The sequence below is a fragment of the Homo sapiens genome, chromosome 5 (assembly GCF_000001405.40).
Source record: "Homo sapiens chromosome 5, GRCh38.p14 Primary Assembly".
NCBI classification, from domain to species: domain Eukaryota; kingdom Metazoa; phylum Chordata; class Mammalia; order Primates; family Hominidae; genus Homo; species Homo sapiens.
Genome location: NC_000005.10, coordinates 80,515,563 through 80,529,678, shown reverse-complemented (window position 1 = coordinate 80,529,678; position 14,116 = coordinate 80,515,563). Strand labels below are relative to the sequence as shown.

The following is a 14,116-nucleotide window of genomic DNA, read 5'->3' as shown; positions in this document are numbered from 1 at the left end:
TCTTGGGAGGGTATATGTGTCCAGGAATTTATCCATTTCTTCTAGATTTTCTCGTTTATTTGCGTAGAGGTGTTTATAGTATTCTCTGATGGTAATTTGTATTTCTGTGGGATCAGTGGTGATATCCGCTTTATCATTTTTTATTGCGTCTATTTGATTCTTCTCTCTTTTCTTCTTTATTAGTCTTGCTAGCGGTCTATCAATTTTGTTGATCTTTTCAAAAAACCAGCTCCTGGATTCATTGCTTTTTTGAAGGGTTTTTTGTGTCTCTATCTCCTTCAGTTCTGCTCTGATCTTAGTTATTTCTTGCCTTCTGCTAGCTTTTGAATGGGTTTGCTCTTGCTTCTCTAGTTCTTTTAATTGTGATGTTAGGGTGCCAATTTTAGATCTTTCCTGCTTTCTCTTGTGGGCATTTAGTGCTATAAATTTCCCTCTACACACTGCTTTAAATGTGTCCCAGAGATTCTGGTATGTTGTGTCTTTGTTCTTGTTGGTTTCAAAGAACATCTTTATTTCTGCCTTCATTTCGTTATGTACCCAGTAGTCACTCAGGAGCAGGTTGTTCAGTTTCCATGTAGTTGAGCGGTTTTGAGTGAGTTTCTTAATCCTGAGTTGTAGTTTGATTGCACTGTGGTCTCAGAGACAGTTTGTTATAATTTCTGTTCTTTTACATTTGGTGAGGAGTACTTCACTTCCAACTATGTGGTCAATTTTGGAATAAATGCGATGTGGTGCTGAGAAGAATGTATATTTTGTTGATCTGGGGTGGAGAGTTCTGTAGATGTCTATTAGGTCCACTTGGTGCAGAGCTGAGTTCAATTCCTGGATATCCTTGTTAACTTTCTGTCTCGTTGATCTGTCTAATGTTGACAGTGGGATGTTAACGTCTCCCATTATTATTGTGTGGGAATCTAAGTCTCTTTGTAGGGAATCCTTTTTTTTTTTTCTGAGACTGGGTCTTACTCTGTCACCCAGGCTGGAGTGCAGTGGTGTGATTATAGCTCACTGCAGCCTCCACCTCAGCCTCCCAAGCAGCTGGGATTACAGGCACATGCCACCACACCCAGCTAATTTTTTTTGTGTGTTGAAATCTATTTTGTCTCATATAAGTATATCTACTCCTGCTCTTTTTTGGTTTCCATTGGCATGGAATATCTTTTTCCATCCTTTTCAGTCTATGTGTGTCTTCATAGGTGAAGTGTGATCCTTGTAAGCAACAGATTGATGAGTCTCGCTCTTTTTTTTTTTCATCCATTCAGTCACTCTGACTTTTATTAGAGAGTTTAGGTCACTTACATTCAATGTTATTATTGATAAGTAAGGACTTACCCCTGCCAGTTTGTTGTTTTCTGGTTATTTTGTGGTCTTGCCTTCCTTCTTTTTTTCCCCCTTCCTTTCTTCCTTTTAGTGAAGGTGATTTTCTCTAGTGATATGATTTAGCTTCTTGCTTGTTACTTTTTGTGTATCCACTGTATGGTTTTTGGTTTGAGGCTACCATGAGGCTTGCAAATACTATCTTATAAACCATTATTTCAGCACTCTACTCATTCGGGAAATTTTCCTAGAAATGAGCTATAGATATGATCCCTGGAAGTATAGTTTTTGTGTCTTAGTTTTTAACAAAAATATTTTAAAAGTTTAAAAAAAGTAAAAAGTTAAAAAATTGAAAAAAGCTTATAGAATAGGATATAAAGAAAGGAAATATTTTTGTACAGCTATACAAGGTGGTTGTGTTTTAAGCCAAGTGTTATTGCTAAAGAGTCAAAAAGATTTGTTTAGAAAAAGCTTATAAAGTAAAAATGTTAGAGTAAGCTAAGGTTAATGTATTCTTGAAGAAAAAGAAATTTTAAATAAATTTAATATGGTCTAAGTACACAGTTTATAAAGTCTACAGTAGTGTACAGTAATGCTGTAGGCCTTCACATTCATTTACCACCCACTCACTGACACTTCCAGTCCTGCAAGCTCCGGAAATGGTAAGTGCCCTACACAGGTGTGCCATTTTTTATCTTTTATATCATATTTTCACTGTACTTTTGTCTATGTTTAGATATGTTTATATACACAGATACTTACCACTGTGTTATAATTACCTACATTATTCAGTATGATAATACGGTGTACAAGTTTGTAGCCTAGAAACAAATGGTTACATTGTATAGCCTAGGTGTAGGCAATTTAGGTTTGTGTAAGTACATCCTATGATGTTCACACAATGACAAAATTACCTAATGAAATTTTTTTTTTTTTTTAATTGAGACAGAGTCTTGCTCTGCCACCCAGGCTGAAGTGCAGTGGCATGACCTCGGCTCACTACAACTTCTGCCTTCCAGGTTCAAGCAATTCTCCTGCCTCAGCGTCCTGAGTAGCTGAGATTACAGACGTGTGCCACCACACCCAGCTAATTTTTGTATTTTTAGTAGAGATGGGGTTTCACTATGTTAACTAGGCTGGTCTCGAACTCCTGAACTCAAGTGATCCACCCACCTTGGCCTCTCAAAGTGCTGAGATTACAGGCCTGAGCCACTGTGCCTGGATGACCTAATGAAAAATTTCTCAGAAGGTATCCCCATCTTAAAGCGATACATGACTGTACTTCTGCAGGATCTTTGCAGAATACTAAGTTGTTGTGTTAAAGGTAAGAATAAGATATGTTTGGGCACTACTAGCAATACTATCTAACACTGTTCTAGAGTTCTCAATGTTGACTATTGAAATTTCAGCTAGATAATTCTTTACTGTGGGAGCAGTTCTATGCAATGTAGGATGTCTAAAGCAGCATCCCTGGCCTTTACCACTAGCTGTTCAATAGAATCCCTGCCCCCACCCCTCATCTTTTGGTGTGGCAACCAAAAATGTCCTCAGGCATTGTCTGCTGGAGAGCCAAATCACCCCTACTGATAATACCTTGAGAATCACTATTCTAGAGGTATTAACCATCATAAAAAAGAAATTAGAGATATAAAAGTTGAAAAGAGGTAAAATTAACATTATTTGAAGAGAATAAATTTTTTTTGCTTAGAAAACTCAAGAAAATCAATTGAAAGACTATTTTTTTTTAGACGGAATCTTGTTCAGCCGCACAGGCTGGAGTGCAGTGGTGCGACCTTGGCTCACTGCAACCACCATCTCCCAAATTCAAGCGATTCCCCCATCTCAGCCTCCCGAGTAGCTGGAATTACAGGCACCTGCCATCATGCATGGCTAATTTTTTTTTTTTTTTTTGGACTTTAGTAGAGATGGTGTTTCACCATGTTGGCCAAGCTTGGTCTTGAACTCCTGACCTCAGGTGATCCGCCCGCCTTGGCCTCCCAAAGTGCTAGGATTACACACATGAGACACTGTGCCTGGCCCTGAAAGACTATTAAAAATGCTAAGAGAATTTAGGATATAGATTTGGACACAATATCCAAATCAATATAGTTGACTCTTGAACAACACAGGTTAGAACTGAGTGAGTCCATTGATACACTGATTTTTTTCAACCAAATGAGAATGGACATAGAGCATTCACAGGATTTGAAATGTGGGTATAAGGAGGCTGACTTTCTGTGTACTCAAGTCCCAAAGGAACAGCTTGGGAACTTCAGAATGAGCCGATTTTGGTATATGCTGAGCATCCTTGAACCCATCCTCCACGTATACTGAGGGATGACTGTATACAGAAATCTATAGCCTTCATATATATGTATATGCATTTTATATATATATACACACCTAGTATAAAAATATAAATACTCCTAGTATATACAGGTCATCTAAATACACCTAGTATATGCCTTCATATATATATATATATATATGCATACAGGCACTGTTTCATTATAGAGAGCATTAGAAGCCTGTACTTTCTGGAGAAGTAGTTTTGGTGTTTAAATACAAAAATAGTTATAAAAGGCAGCATTAAGCAAAGAGCCTTAGAGGTTATTTTAGTTACTCTGGTGTATGTTTTTTTTCTGTCAACATTTGTGGGCTGGAACGGGAATGTGATAGTGTACGTCAGCTTCTACTTATGTGCATGCTGACATTCCCAGGGTTAGCAGAGGAACTGGACAGAATGAACCTAGGCTCTAGATGACCGTTGGAGAAGATCCTCCACCCTCCTGAGACCTTCCTGAGTCTGGACTGTTTGGAGACAGATATACAAACTTCTCTCCTGTTTGAGTTACTGTATTTTGAAATTTCTATAATAAAAACACTTAGCCTGTTCTTTGAACAGGTATGCTGTCAAGAACTGAAACTTCGCCATGGTTCAAGGGTGTTACTGCAGAGTGGATTCACCAACTACTTAGATGAGAAGCAAAAAGGGATCAGCAGTTCATCACTTGTTGAGTTCCCTGACACAGAAATATTGTGATAGTGTCTTATTTCAAATAGCTCTCTTGACATTGCAGGATTCATTCATGCACAATTGCTTGACTCAAAATGAGGTTCTCGTATAAAGATGGGATATTGCTATCTTCTTAGAAGCATTCTTTCTCTAGAAGCTACTCCCTTTGTAACATATTATTCATATTACTAATTACATTAGAGCACATCACAAGGTGATTGAGGTGGTACTTGACACCAGAGTAACTAAAATAATCTCTAAGGCTCTTTGCTTAATGCTGTCTTTTATAGCTATTTTTGTATTTAAACACCAAAACTACTTCTCCAGAAAGTACAGGCTTCTAATGCTCTCTATGATGAAACAGTGCCTGTATGCATTTGGTTTTTCCATTTAACAACTATTTATTAAATTCCTATGATGTGCTGGGCATTATTTTAAATGCTAAAGATCTGTGGATGATCAAGATAAGCAAGGTTGCTGTCTTCATGCAATCTCACAAACATTAGATAATAAAAAAATTATTAGGAACAAAATTAAAACACCTGGGTCCACCATAAAGACAATTCTAACCTTCAGTCTTTTAAAGTAGAAGCATATTATCCAGATTTTGTTATCTGAAACACTGTTATCAGCCTACATTGCTTTTACCATAAAAAGTATAGTCTACATAAATATTTCAGTGCTAAGTTTTTAAAAAATAAATGGACTTTTCCTTCCTATCTCAAACAATATAAGAACCTCTAAGTCTGTAGAACTAATGATAATGTTCTGTAGTTTTTTTCTATGGAATAATTAGAAAAACAAGCAAACTCCAGAACTTTGGAGGATGAATATGATTCTCAAAACCAGTAAAATGAGAGTAAGTAGGTATCTTTAAAAAATAACGAGTAGATGAACTTGCAGTTACACAAGATAATAAGTCTAGAGATCTAATGGACAGTAGGAGGACTATAGTTAATATTGTTGTATTTGAAAAATTTGCTAACATAATAGATTTTAGGTGCTCTTATCACACATATGACTATGTGAAAATCAATGTGACATCATCAAAAATGAAAAAAATATACCCAAATGGAATATAGGCTGGGCTGAATTCTCTCATAAATGTGGCCATAGTCATATGGTACTTGTGCACATGATTATCTGAGTATTATGTCTCCAAGAAAATAGAGTCCATCTATATTGTAAATGTTTCTCAAATGAGGGTAAGAAAATATATTCTCAAAAACTCTAGAGTTTTCCATGAGAACTGAAAATTTTAATTAAATGTAATGCTTTAATTTCAATAATAATCTTTAAAAAATTAATACAGTATGCTATTTGATTTCAGTGCACTTCCCTGACACTAATGAAAACAAACAAACCTAGAGGCAGAGTTAATAAATAAATGATGTGTTTGCAAAAAGAGAATGTCAAATAGCATCACGGGATACTTTAACAACGAGGGTTGCCCCATAATTGTTTGTAACTAAGAATCTGACTGGAATAGTGTCTGGTATCACCTAATATTTCTCTTTAAGCATAATGCTAGCAGCCACTGATTCAAACTACTCTAAGCTCAATTCATCTACAAATATTTTTACACATCAATTTTCCCACATGCAAATGGAATCATACTATACCTATCATTCTGCATCTTAATTTATTCAGTTAATAATATATCTTAGAGATCATTCCATATTAAAACATAGGGTCTCCTGCATTATCTATAACATATAATATTCCATCATATGGGTGTACCATAATTTATTCAACAGTGTCTGACTGATAGATATTTAGAATGTTTCAAGTCTTTTATTAATACAAACGATGCTTCCAGAATATCCTTGTACCTATGTCTCTGTGCTTATGTGAACGTCTATTAGTAAGACACGGTCTCATTAGTGAAATTCATGAGTATATGCCAAATTTCTCTCCAAGGAAATTATTGATCAGTTTATACTCCAGCCAAAAATGTATGAGTGTCTTGCTTCCACTATTCTCTGCAACATAGTGAATTATTAAACTGGGACTTTTTCTGGGTAATTTGTAAAAATCCTTTATTTGTCAGAATTCTTAACATTTCTCTGACATACACATTGGGGGTCTTTTTACTAGTTGCTTTCCATTTTTATGTATTCAAATGTATCAAAATTCCTTTTACAGGCTTCTGGGTTTTGTGCCTTACTACTAAGAAAGGTCTTCTCCATTCTGAAACTATATTTAAGGAATCATCCCTTGTTTATTCTTTATGCATTTACTGTTTGATGTTCAAATCTTTAATTCATTGGGAATGTATTTTGGAGCAAGGAATAAGCAAAGGTGTCAGCATTGTTTTTCCTACATAGCCTGTTGTCCTAAAACCAGTTGCTGAACTTCTTGCTCCAAAGATCTGAAAAGTCAGCTTGTTTCTACACTAAGTTCCATGATAGATTCTGGACTTTTCCTTTTGTTCTACTGATTGATCTCTTAAAAGAAAAAAAAATAAAATTTTTAACATCTGTACTTTTATAATCTATTTAAATATTCAATAGGTGGTCCAACTAATTTTTATTACATACCAAAATAAAACTTTTATATAAAAAAGATTTCTGAAAGTATTATTTTTGAGACAGGGCCTCGCTCTGTCACCTAGGCTGTAGTACAGTTGTATGATCTTGGCTCACTGAAGCCTCGGCCTCCCAGTTTCAAGCGATGCTCCCACCTTAGCTTCCCGAGTAGCTGAGACTACAGGTGCTTGCCACCACGCTCGGCTAATTTTTTAATGTTTTGTAAAGACAAGTTCTCACTAAATTGCCCAGGCTGATCTCAAACTCCTGGGTTCAGGGGATCCTCCTGCCTCAGCCTCCCAAAGTGCTGGGATTACGGGTGTGAGCCATCACACCTGGCTGATTTCTGAAATTATGATGAAATTTAAAAAGAAGCTAATTTATCCACTCATAATTTTTTGTGAATATATAATGAAAAAGACAGCTAACACTTACTGAGCACCTACTATGTACAAAAACTTTTGTGAGGAATAGGGGTAAAATATACGATGTTAAGTAAGTTAAGGTTCATCAAGGAGCTCCAATCCGGTGAGGGAGTCTGTGCGCTTATATCATCAGTTTTCATTCCTTTTCTGTCTACCTTTCTCTCACACACACTGTCTTTAAATAATCAATTTTCATGCCCTTTCTATCTCTGTCTCTCATACACACTCACATACACATTTGTTAAACTATTACATACCTGTTTGATTTCTTTAACAGCCAAAGTAACTGAGAACAAGACTGCCTGACTAATGCTGCTCTGACAGGGAACGTTACAGGCTGACTTAGTTCATTACATATATATTCCATCTCTTTCACCATTGTCCAACTGTACCCTTAAAAGAAAAGAAAAAAATTTAACTTTATTGATTGAAATCTTGAAAGACAATTAAATAAAAGACTAAATTACCTATAATTAGGTAAAACCATAGATAATTCATAGGTAATTCATAATACTTTCCATTTGGATTCTAAGTCAATTAAAATGCTACTTAATGTGAAAAAAAACTAAGTGGAAAATGGAGATAAAAAATCATTCCACAAGTGACCTAGAGCAAATTTAACAAAACATTAAGGCACTAAAAAGGTTTTACTAATCTCTCAAGCACAAGAAAAAAAATTTACACCACTAGATTTTATTTACTTTAAATATTTTAAGGCTCTTCTTTTAGGTACACCTGCATCATTATTATTCTCTATAAACTTGGATTTCCTATTTTTGTTAAATTTTCTTTTCCAAGAAAGGTTGCTTTGGGGTATATGCTAGCTGTTTAAGTGATAGTTAACATCAAATCAATTTTCTTTTTGGCTTGCCCAAATTACCTGTATATTTTACTTAAAGTAGAAATAGTGGTAAAATTGACTATATATGTATATATTTTACATATATTTAAATCATGTTAAGACATTGTGGGCCAGGCATGGTGGTTTATGCCTGTAATCCCAGCACTTTGAGAGGCCAAGGTGGGAGGATAGCTTGAGCCCAGGAGTTTGAAACCAGCCTGGGCAACTTAGTGAGACTTCACTTCTACAAAAAAATTTAAAAAGTAGCTGTGTGTGATGGTGTATGCCTGTGGTCTCAGCTACTCTGGAGGCTGAGGTGGGAGGATCACTTGAGCCCAGGAGGTTGAAGGTGCAGTGAGCCATGATGGTACTACTGCACTCAGCCTGGGTGACAGAGCCAGACCCTGTTTTTTAAAAAAAAAAAAAAAAAAAAAAAAAGGCCAGGTGCAGTGGCTCATGCCTGTAATCCCAGCACTTTGGGAGGCCAAGGTGGGTGGATCACTGGAGGTCAGGAGTTTGAGACCAGCCTGGCCAACATGGTGAAACCCCATCTCTACTAAAAAACAATACAAAAATTAGCTGGGCGTGGTGGCGCCTGTAATCCCAGCTATTCAAGAGGTTGATGCACGAGAATCACTTGAACCTGGGAACCTGGGAGGTGGAGGTTGCAGTAAGCTGAGATCACACCACTGCACTCCAGCCTGGGCAACAGAGCAAGACTCTATTTAAAAAAAAAAAAAACCACATGGAAAACACACTTGCTTGTTTCTAAATAGCTTGAAAAAAAAGTATCTATGTATATATAGAGAATATATATTTTTATATATAAATAAACTATATACATAATAAATAAATATATATATATATACACACACATATATATATATGCACACACTTTTTTTTTTTTTTTGAGACAGAGTCTCACTCTGTTGCCCAGGCTGGAGTACAGTGGCACGATCTTGGCTCACTGCAACCTACGCCTCCTGGGTTCAAGTGATTCTCCTGCCTCAGCCTCCCGAGTAGCTGAGACTACAGGCACACACTACCATGCCTGGCTAACTTTTGTATTTTTAGTAGAGACGGGGTTTCGTCATGCTGGCCAGGCTGGTCTCAAACTCCTGACTTCAGGTGATCCGCCCACCTTGGCCTCCCGAAGTGTGGTGATTACAGGCATGAGCCACCACGCCCGGCCAGAATATATCTATTTTAAATAACTCTATACTCTATCAAAAGCAAGTTGTAAAAAATATTGGTCAGTCAGTAAAGGAACATTTTACAGAAATCTTAAGTGAATATGTTAGTTTAGCAGCTAATTTCCTGATAAAAAGAAGGGACGTGTTCCACTTTCCTTTAAAATCTGGAAAATTATATTTTTAAAAATTAGAAAAAGAGATTGCTAACAGAAGCTTTACTTATATGACTATAAATGTGTGAACTCTCTTAAAATCTGCAGCGTCACCAGTGAACATGGCATCTATCTGAAAGAGCAGATGGAAGGGTCTGCACATACCTGAAGGGTCAGGCCTTTTTTTCCATCAGGCTTAGATTTTGTAGAATGGGTTTTGGTCTTTGTATTAAAGATGTTATTTTTATACCTGGAGGATATTTTAATTTGACCAAGAAATACATTATTAGAATTATTACCTTCATTGACTTTCTCAGGATGCCATCCTGTTGTCCAACCCAGGGAAAACGTCACGTCTGGAAAGAAGGATATCACGGTGTCTAAAAATGGTTTTGCATCTATTACTTTGCTATTTCCATTTGGACCAGGAAGAATATCGGCATTAATCCATACAGGACGCTTCAGATGCCTCTTCACATTTTCCAAGAGCATCATGGATGGTTCTACAACTGCCAGACTAAAAACATAATTTGTTGTCAATGAGATAGATTCTTTAGGTAAAGTAAAAAGAAGTTCTTTTAGACTAGTGGTCTCAATGTTCTCAAATTCATAATCAAAATACAATAATGTCTGGGTTAAATAAAATCAAAGATCGCATAGCACCAGAGGGAAAAGCTAACATATGCCATATCTCTAAATGTTGAACTGTGCTTATTATTCATGAATATACCTTAAAGAGTCTATAAATATATGAATAGTGGTACTACTTGTGGACAAAATAGAGGTTTCAAAACTCCATATTAGGATCACTTGGTGTGAAAACAGTTTTTTAAAAGACACAAATATTCACTCGTTCCAGAATGTATAAATAAGATAAATGAAATACACTTAATAACCTGTAAATTCACATTTATGAAATACCCAAGTGGATCCAAGCCCTGTATCTCTAATTCAGGCTCATGACCCTGGAGAATAAAAGTAGCTTCTTTCCCTTATGTATTCTTGGGTGAGTTTGGATACATAAACAATTCTAAAAATGACTGTAAAATATAAAATTATAGTATTTCCTTCAAGTTTCTGTTTCATTTTTCTTCTTTTATTGTAAGAACCTTTTCTGAAAATTAGAAATACGTATATTTTAGTTCAAATTTAAAAAGCAACTTCAATCTTTTTACTTCCCTACAGATATTCTAGCTGATAACTACAGACTTTGAAACAATAAGGTTTTAATCAGCTTCCATAATTTTTACTTGCCTATGTTCATTTATAAGAAAATTACCTTGTAGTGAATATCATAATGGGAGGCTATGAATTTTGGAGATGGATACTGGAGGGGAGAACACTCACCGACCCCTCCTCACATTTCCCTCTCTCTTCCTAAGAGACGGCAGTACTTCTGTCTATGCTTCTACCTCTCTTGTCTCCACTCCTTTTGGGCCTCCTACTCTAAGAGAAGAAATTTAAATAATCTCATTATTTATTGGGTTATGTTTACCAGTGAGCAAGGATACTATGTACTAAAACCAGAGGAACCCAGGCTCTATCCCTTAGCTTCTAGCCCCTTTCCCTCTGCTGCCATGTGGTACGCTTCCTTCTCACTCTTCTGCCCCTGAATTGGGGAGGGCCTAGATTTTAGTGGATTAATAAACCTTAATGCTGGACTCTGCAGACATTAATTTAGATGTTGTCATTTGTCTCTTTTAAATTCTCCCTGCCTTGCCCTGTGTCAACACCATGTTAAAACCACAATTCTGAGATCCAACACTGTACTTCCTACAAAATTCCATTTTTCGTAGCAAGCAACTTGTACCTGTGACTCCAAAGCTTGCTTGTCTGTCAGTCCCATAGCAGCAGCCAAGTCCCCATGAGGTGCTGCTCTTCATGGGTGGAGTAAGGAAAAACCTTGAACTAATCCATGCATGCCTCCTGCCAAGCTCCTCTTTTTCCAAAAAGGACTCTGATTTCTTAAGAAATCTGGTGTCTTATGGAAGCTGGGTTAAATACTAATTTCCAGTTTACATTTCAGGAGGGAGCCTTTTAGGCTTTCTCAATTTAGTAAGTTGACATAGAGTGAGTGGTTTAAGATTGATTCTTCATCTGATAATATCCAGTTTCTTTTTTTTTTTTTTTTTTTCTTTGAGATGGAGTTTCGCCCTGTCACCCAGGCTGGAGTGCAACGGTGCGATCTCTGCTCACCGTAACCTCTGCATCCCGGGTTCAAGCCATTCTCCTGCCTCTGCCTCCCAAGTAGCTGGGACTATAGGCATGCGCCACCACACCCAGCTAATTTTTGTATTTTCAGTAGAGATGGGGTTTCACCATGTTGGCCAGGCTGGTCTTGAACTCCTGACCTCAAGTGATCCACCTGCCTCGGCCTCCCAAAGTGCTGGGATTACAGGCATGAGCCACCGCACCTGGCCAATATCCAGTTTCAAACAGCGTATTCTCCCACAAATCGAAATTCCACCAGTGTTTACTAAGTGCCTACTACATGCGAAGCACTGTGCAGTTAAACATAAGGAACTATGACAAAGAACACAGTGAAGCAAGAATTTAGTACATTTATTCCATTTTATATGTAAATATTTTAATTATCACTAATGTAGACGAAGGATAATGATATTTTCCCTTACCAGAAACTTAAAATCTGCGGTTAAACAAATTTAAAACCTCACTAAAGAACCAAAAACTTTTTGTTGTTGTAGTTCTTATTTTCTAAAACTTGACGAAGTAATTCTAAAGTTCTTCTGGAAGAAAAGGTGTAACATTTTGTGGGAGAAAAAAGAACTGAGAACAAACTTTCCTAAACAACAAAATAAAATCTACAGTAGTCCACCTTATCTGCAGGGAATATGTTCCAAGACCTCCAAGGGATGCCTGAAACTACCTAGCACCCAACCCTATATGTAGTCTGTTTTTTTTCCCTACACATACCTATCTCTGATAAAGTGTAATTTATAAATTAGTCACAGTAAGAGATTAGCAACATAAACTAGTAATAAAATAGAACAATTATAGCAATATACTATAATAAAAGTTATGTGAATGTGGTCTCTCTCTCTCTCTCAAAATAGCATACTGTACCGTACTCACCCTTCTTCTTGTGATCTGTCAATCTGATAACTGTGACGGCTATTAAGTGACTAACAGGTGGGCAGCATATATGGTGTGGATACGCTGGACGAAGGGAAGGGATGAGTCACACCCCAGCTGGGATGGAATAGGAAAGTACCAGATTTCACCACACTGCTCAGAATGGTGTGTAATTTAAAACTTATTGTTTATTTCTCAAATTTTCCATTTAACACTTTTAGACCATGGTGTACTGCAGGTTACTGAAACTGCAGATAACAGAGGACTACTGTATACTACAAGAAATAACAGACCAAGCCTGGAAGACTCAATATTGCATGTATTATAAAATGACACATCCTTCTAAATTAATCTATAAATTCCATGTGATTCTAATTTAAAATACAGTGGCCAACATTCTCAATTCTTACATATATTAGTACTAAGTTTCCATAAGGAAGTACCAAAGCTTCACCAAGATGATCATCCGAAGAGGAAAGTCCTGGTGAGACTACTACTGAAAATTGCTCCTTGGTGGTATTTATTTAAGTCTCCTGAAAAGAATATAAACTTAGTTATTATAGAATATATTTTTTTCCTAAAAAGTTATTTGTAAATCAAACTTCTAAATATCATACCCTGTTTTCCTATTAATTTCATTTAAAAATTGGGAATGATAAAATAAATATCGTACTTAAAATTGTAACAAACTATATAAAATTGCATTGTTTAAGGGAAAATAATTCTTAGCTAAAACGCTGAAGAGCTTGCTGAGACTCCAGATAAAATTTAAAAATATAATACTTTTTTTTTGAGATGGCGTTTCACTCTTGTTGCCCAGGCTGGAGTGCAATGGCATGATCTCGGCTCACTGCAACCTCCGCTTCCCGGGTCCAAGTGATTCTCCTGCCTCAGCCTTCCGAATAGCTGGGATTACAGGCATGTGCCACCACGTCCAGCTAATTTTGTATTTTTAGTAGAAACGGGGTTTCTCCATGTTGGTCAGGCTGGTCTAGAACTCCTGACCTCAGGTGATTCGCCCACCTTGGCCTACCAAAGTGCTGGGATTATAGTCATGAGCCACTGCGCCCAGCCAAAATATAATACTTTTTATTTGTGTACCAAACAAAGTAACTTAGAAGCACAAAACAAGAACTACTAAAACTTAACTAACAGGTCATTCAGCTGCTCTTACAAAGGGAGTGAGTGCAGCATTCTGGTTAAAAGTGTGAACTCTCCAGCCAGGCTGACAGCTCTCTAGTTCCACTAACAACTACGTGACAAGCGGGCTCCTCAGCCCCTCCATCTCCATTGCCTCATCCGGAAAATGAGAATAACAGCAATAACCTACCTCTTAGGATTGTTACGAGAATTTAATGAAAAATACATGCAATGCTTTTACAACAGTGTCTGACATGTAATAGGTGTTCACATACCTATTAGTTTATATTGAATCCCCTTCAAATATGTTATGACTTTAAAAAAAACTTGCAAAATCTTTGTTTCAGAGGCTCAGCGCTTTTGTGCTAGCTGCTAGCACTTAAGAATGAATGAGCTGATCTGACTGGTGAGAAG

At 36.8% G+C, this 14,116-nt stretch overlaps 1 protein-coding gene across 9 annotated transcripts in view; it reads right to left on the bottom strand.

The window, feature by feature from the left end:
- The window catches only part of FAM151B (family with sequence similarity 151 member B), a 54,464-nt gene that overhangs the window by 12,885 nt on the left and 27,463 nt on the right, over positions 1-14,116 (bottom strand). For 8 of the 9 annotated variants that reach the window (NM_205548.3, XM_011543235.3, XM_011543234.3 and 5 more), the window contains 2 exons: positions 9,769-9,986; positions 7,541-7,676 (listed from right to left, as the gene is read on the bottom strand). In NM_205548.3, the coding sequence (NP_991111.2) occupies positions 7,541-7,676; positions 9,769-9,986 (354 nt within the window). Of the gene's footprint in view, positions 1-7,540; positions 7,677-9,768; positions 9,987-10,748; positions 10,916-14,116 lie in introns of all 9 variants that reach the window. The other variant, XM_011543237.3, reaches the window with a different exon arrangement.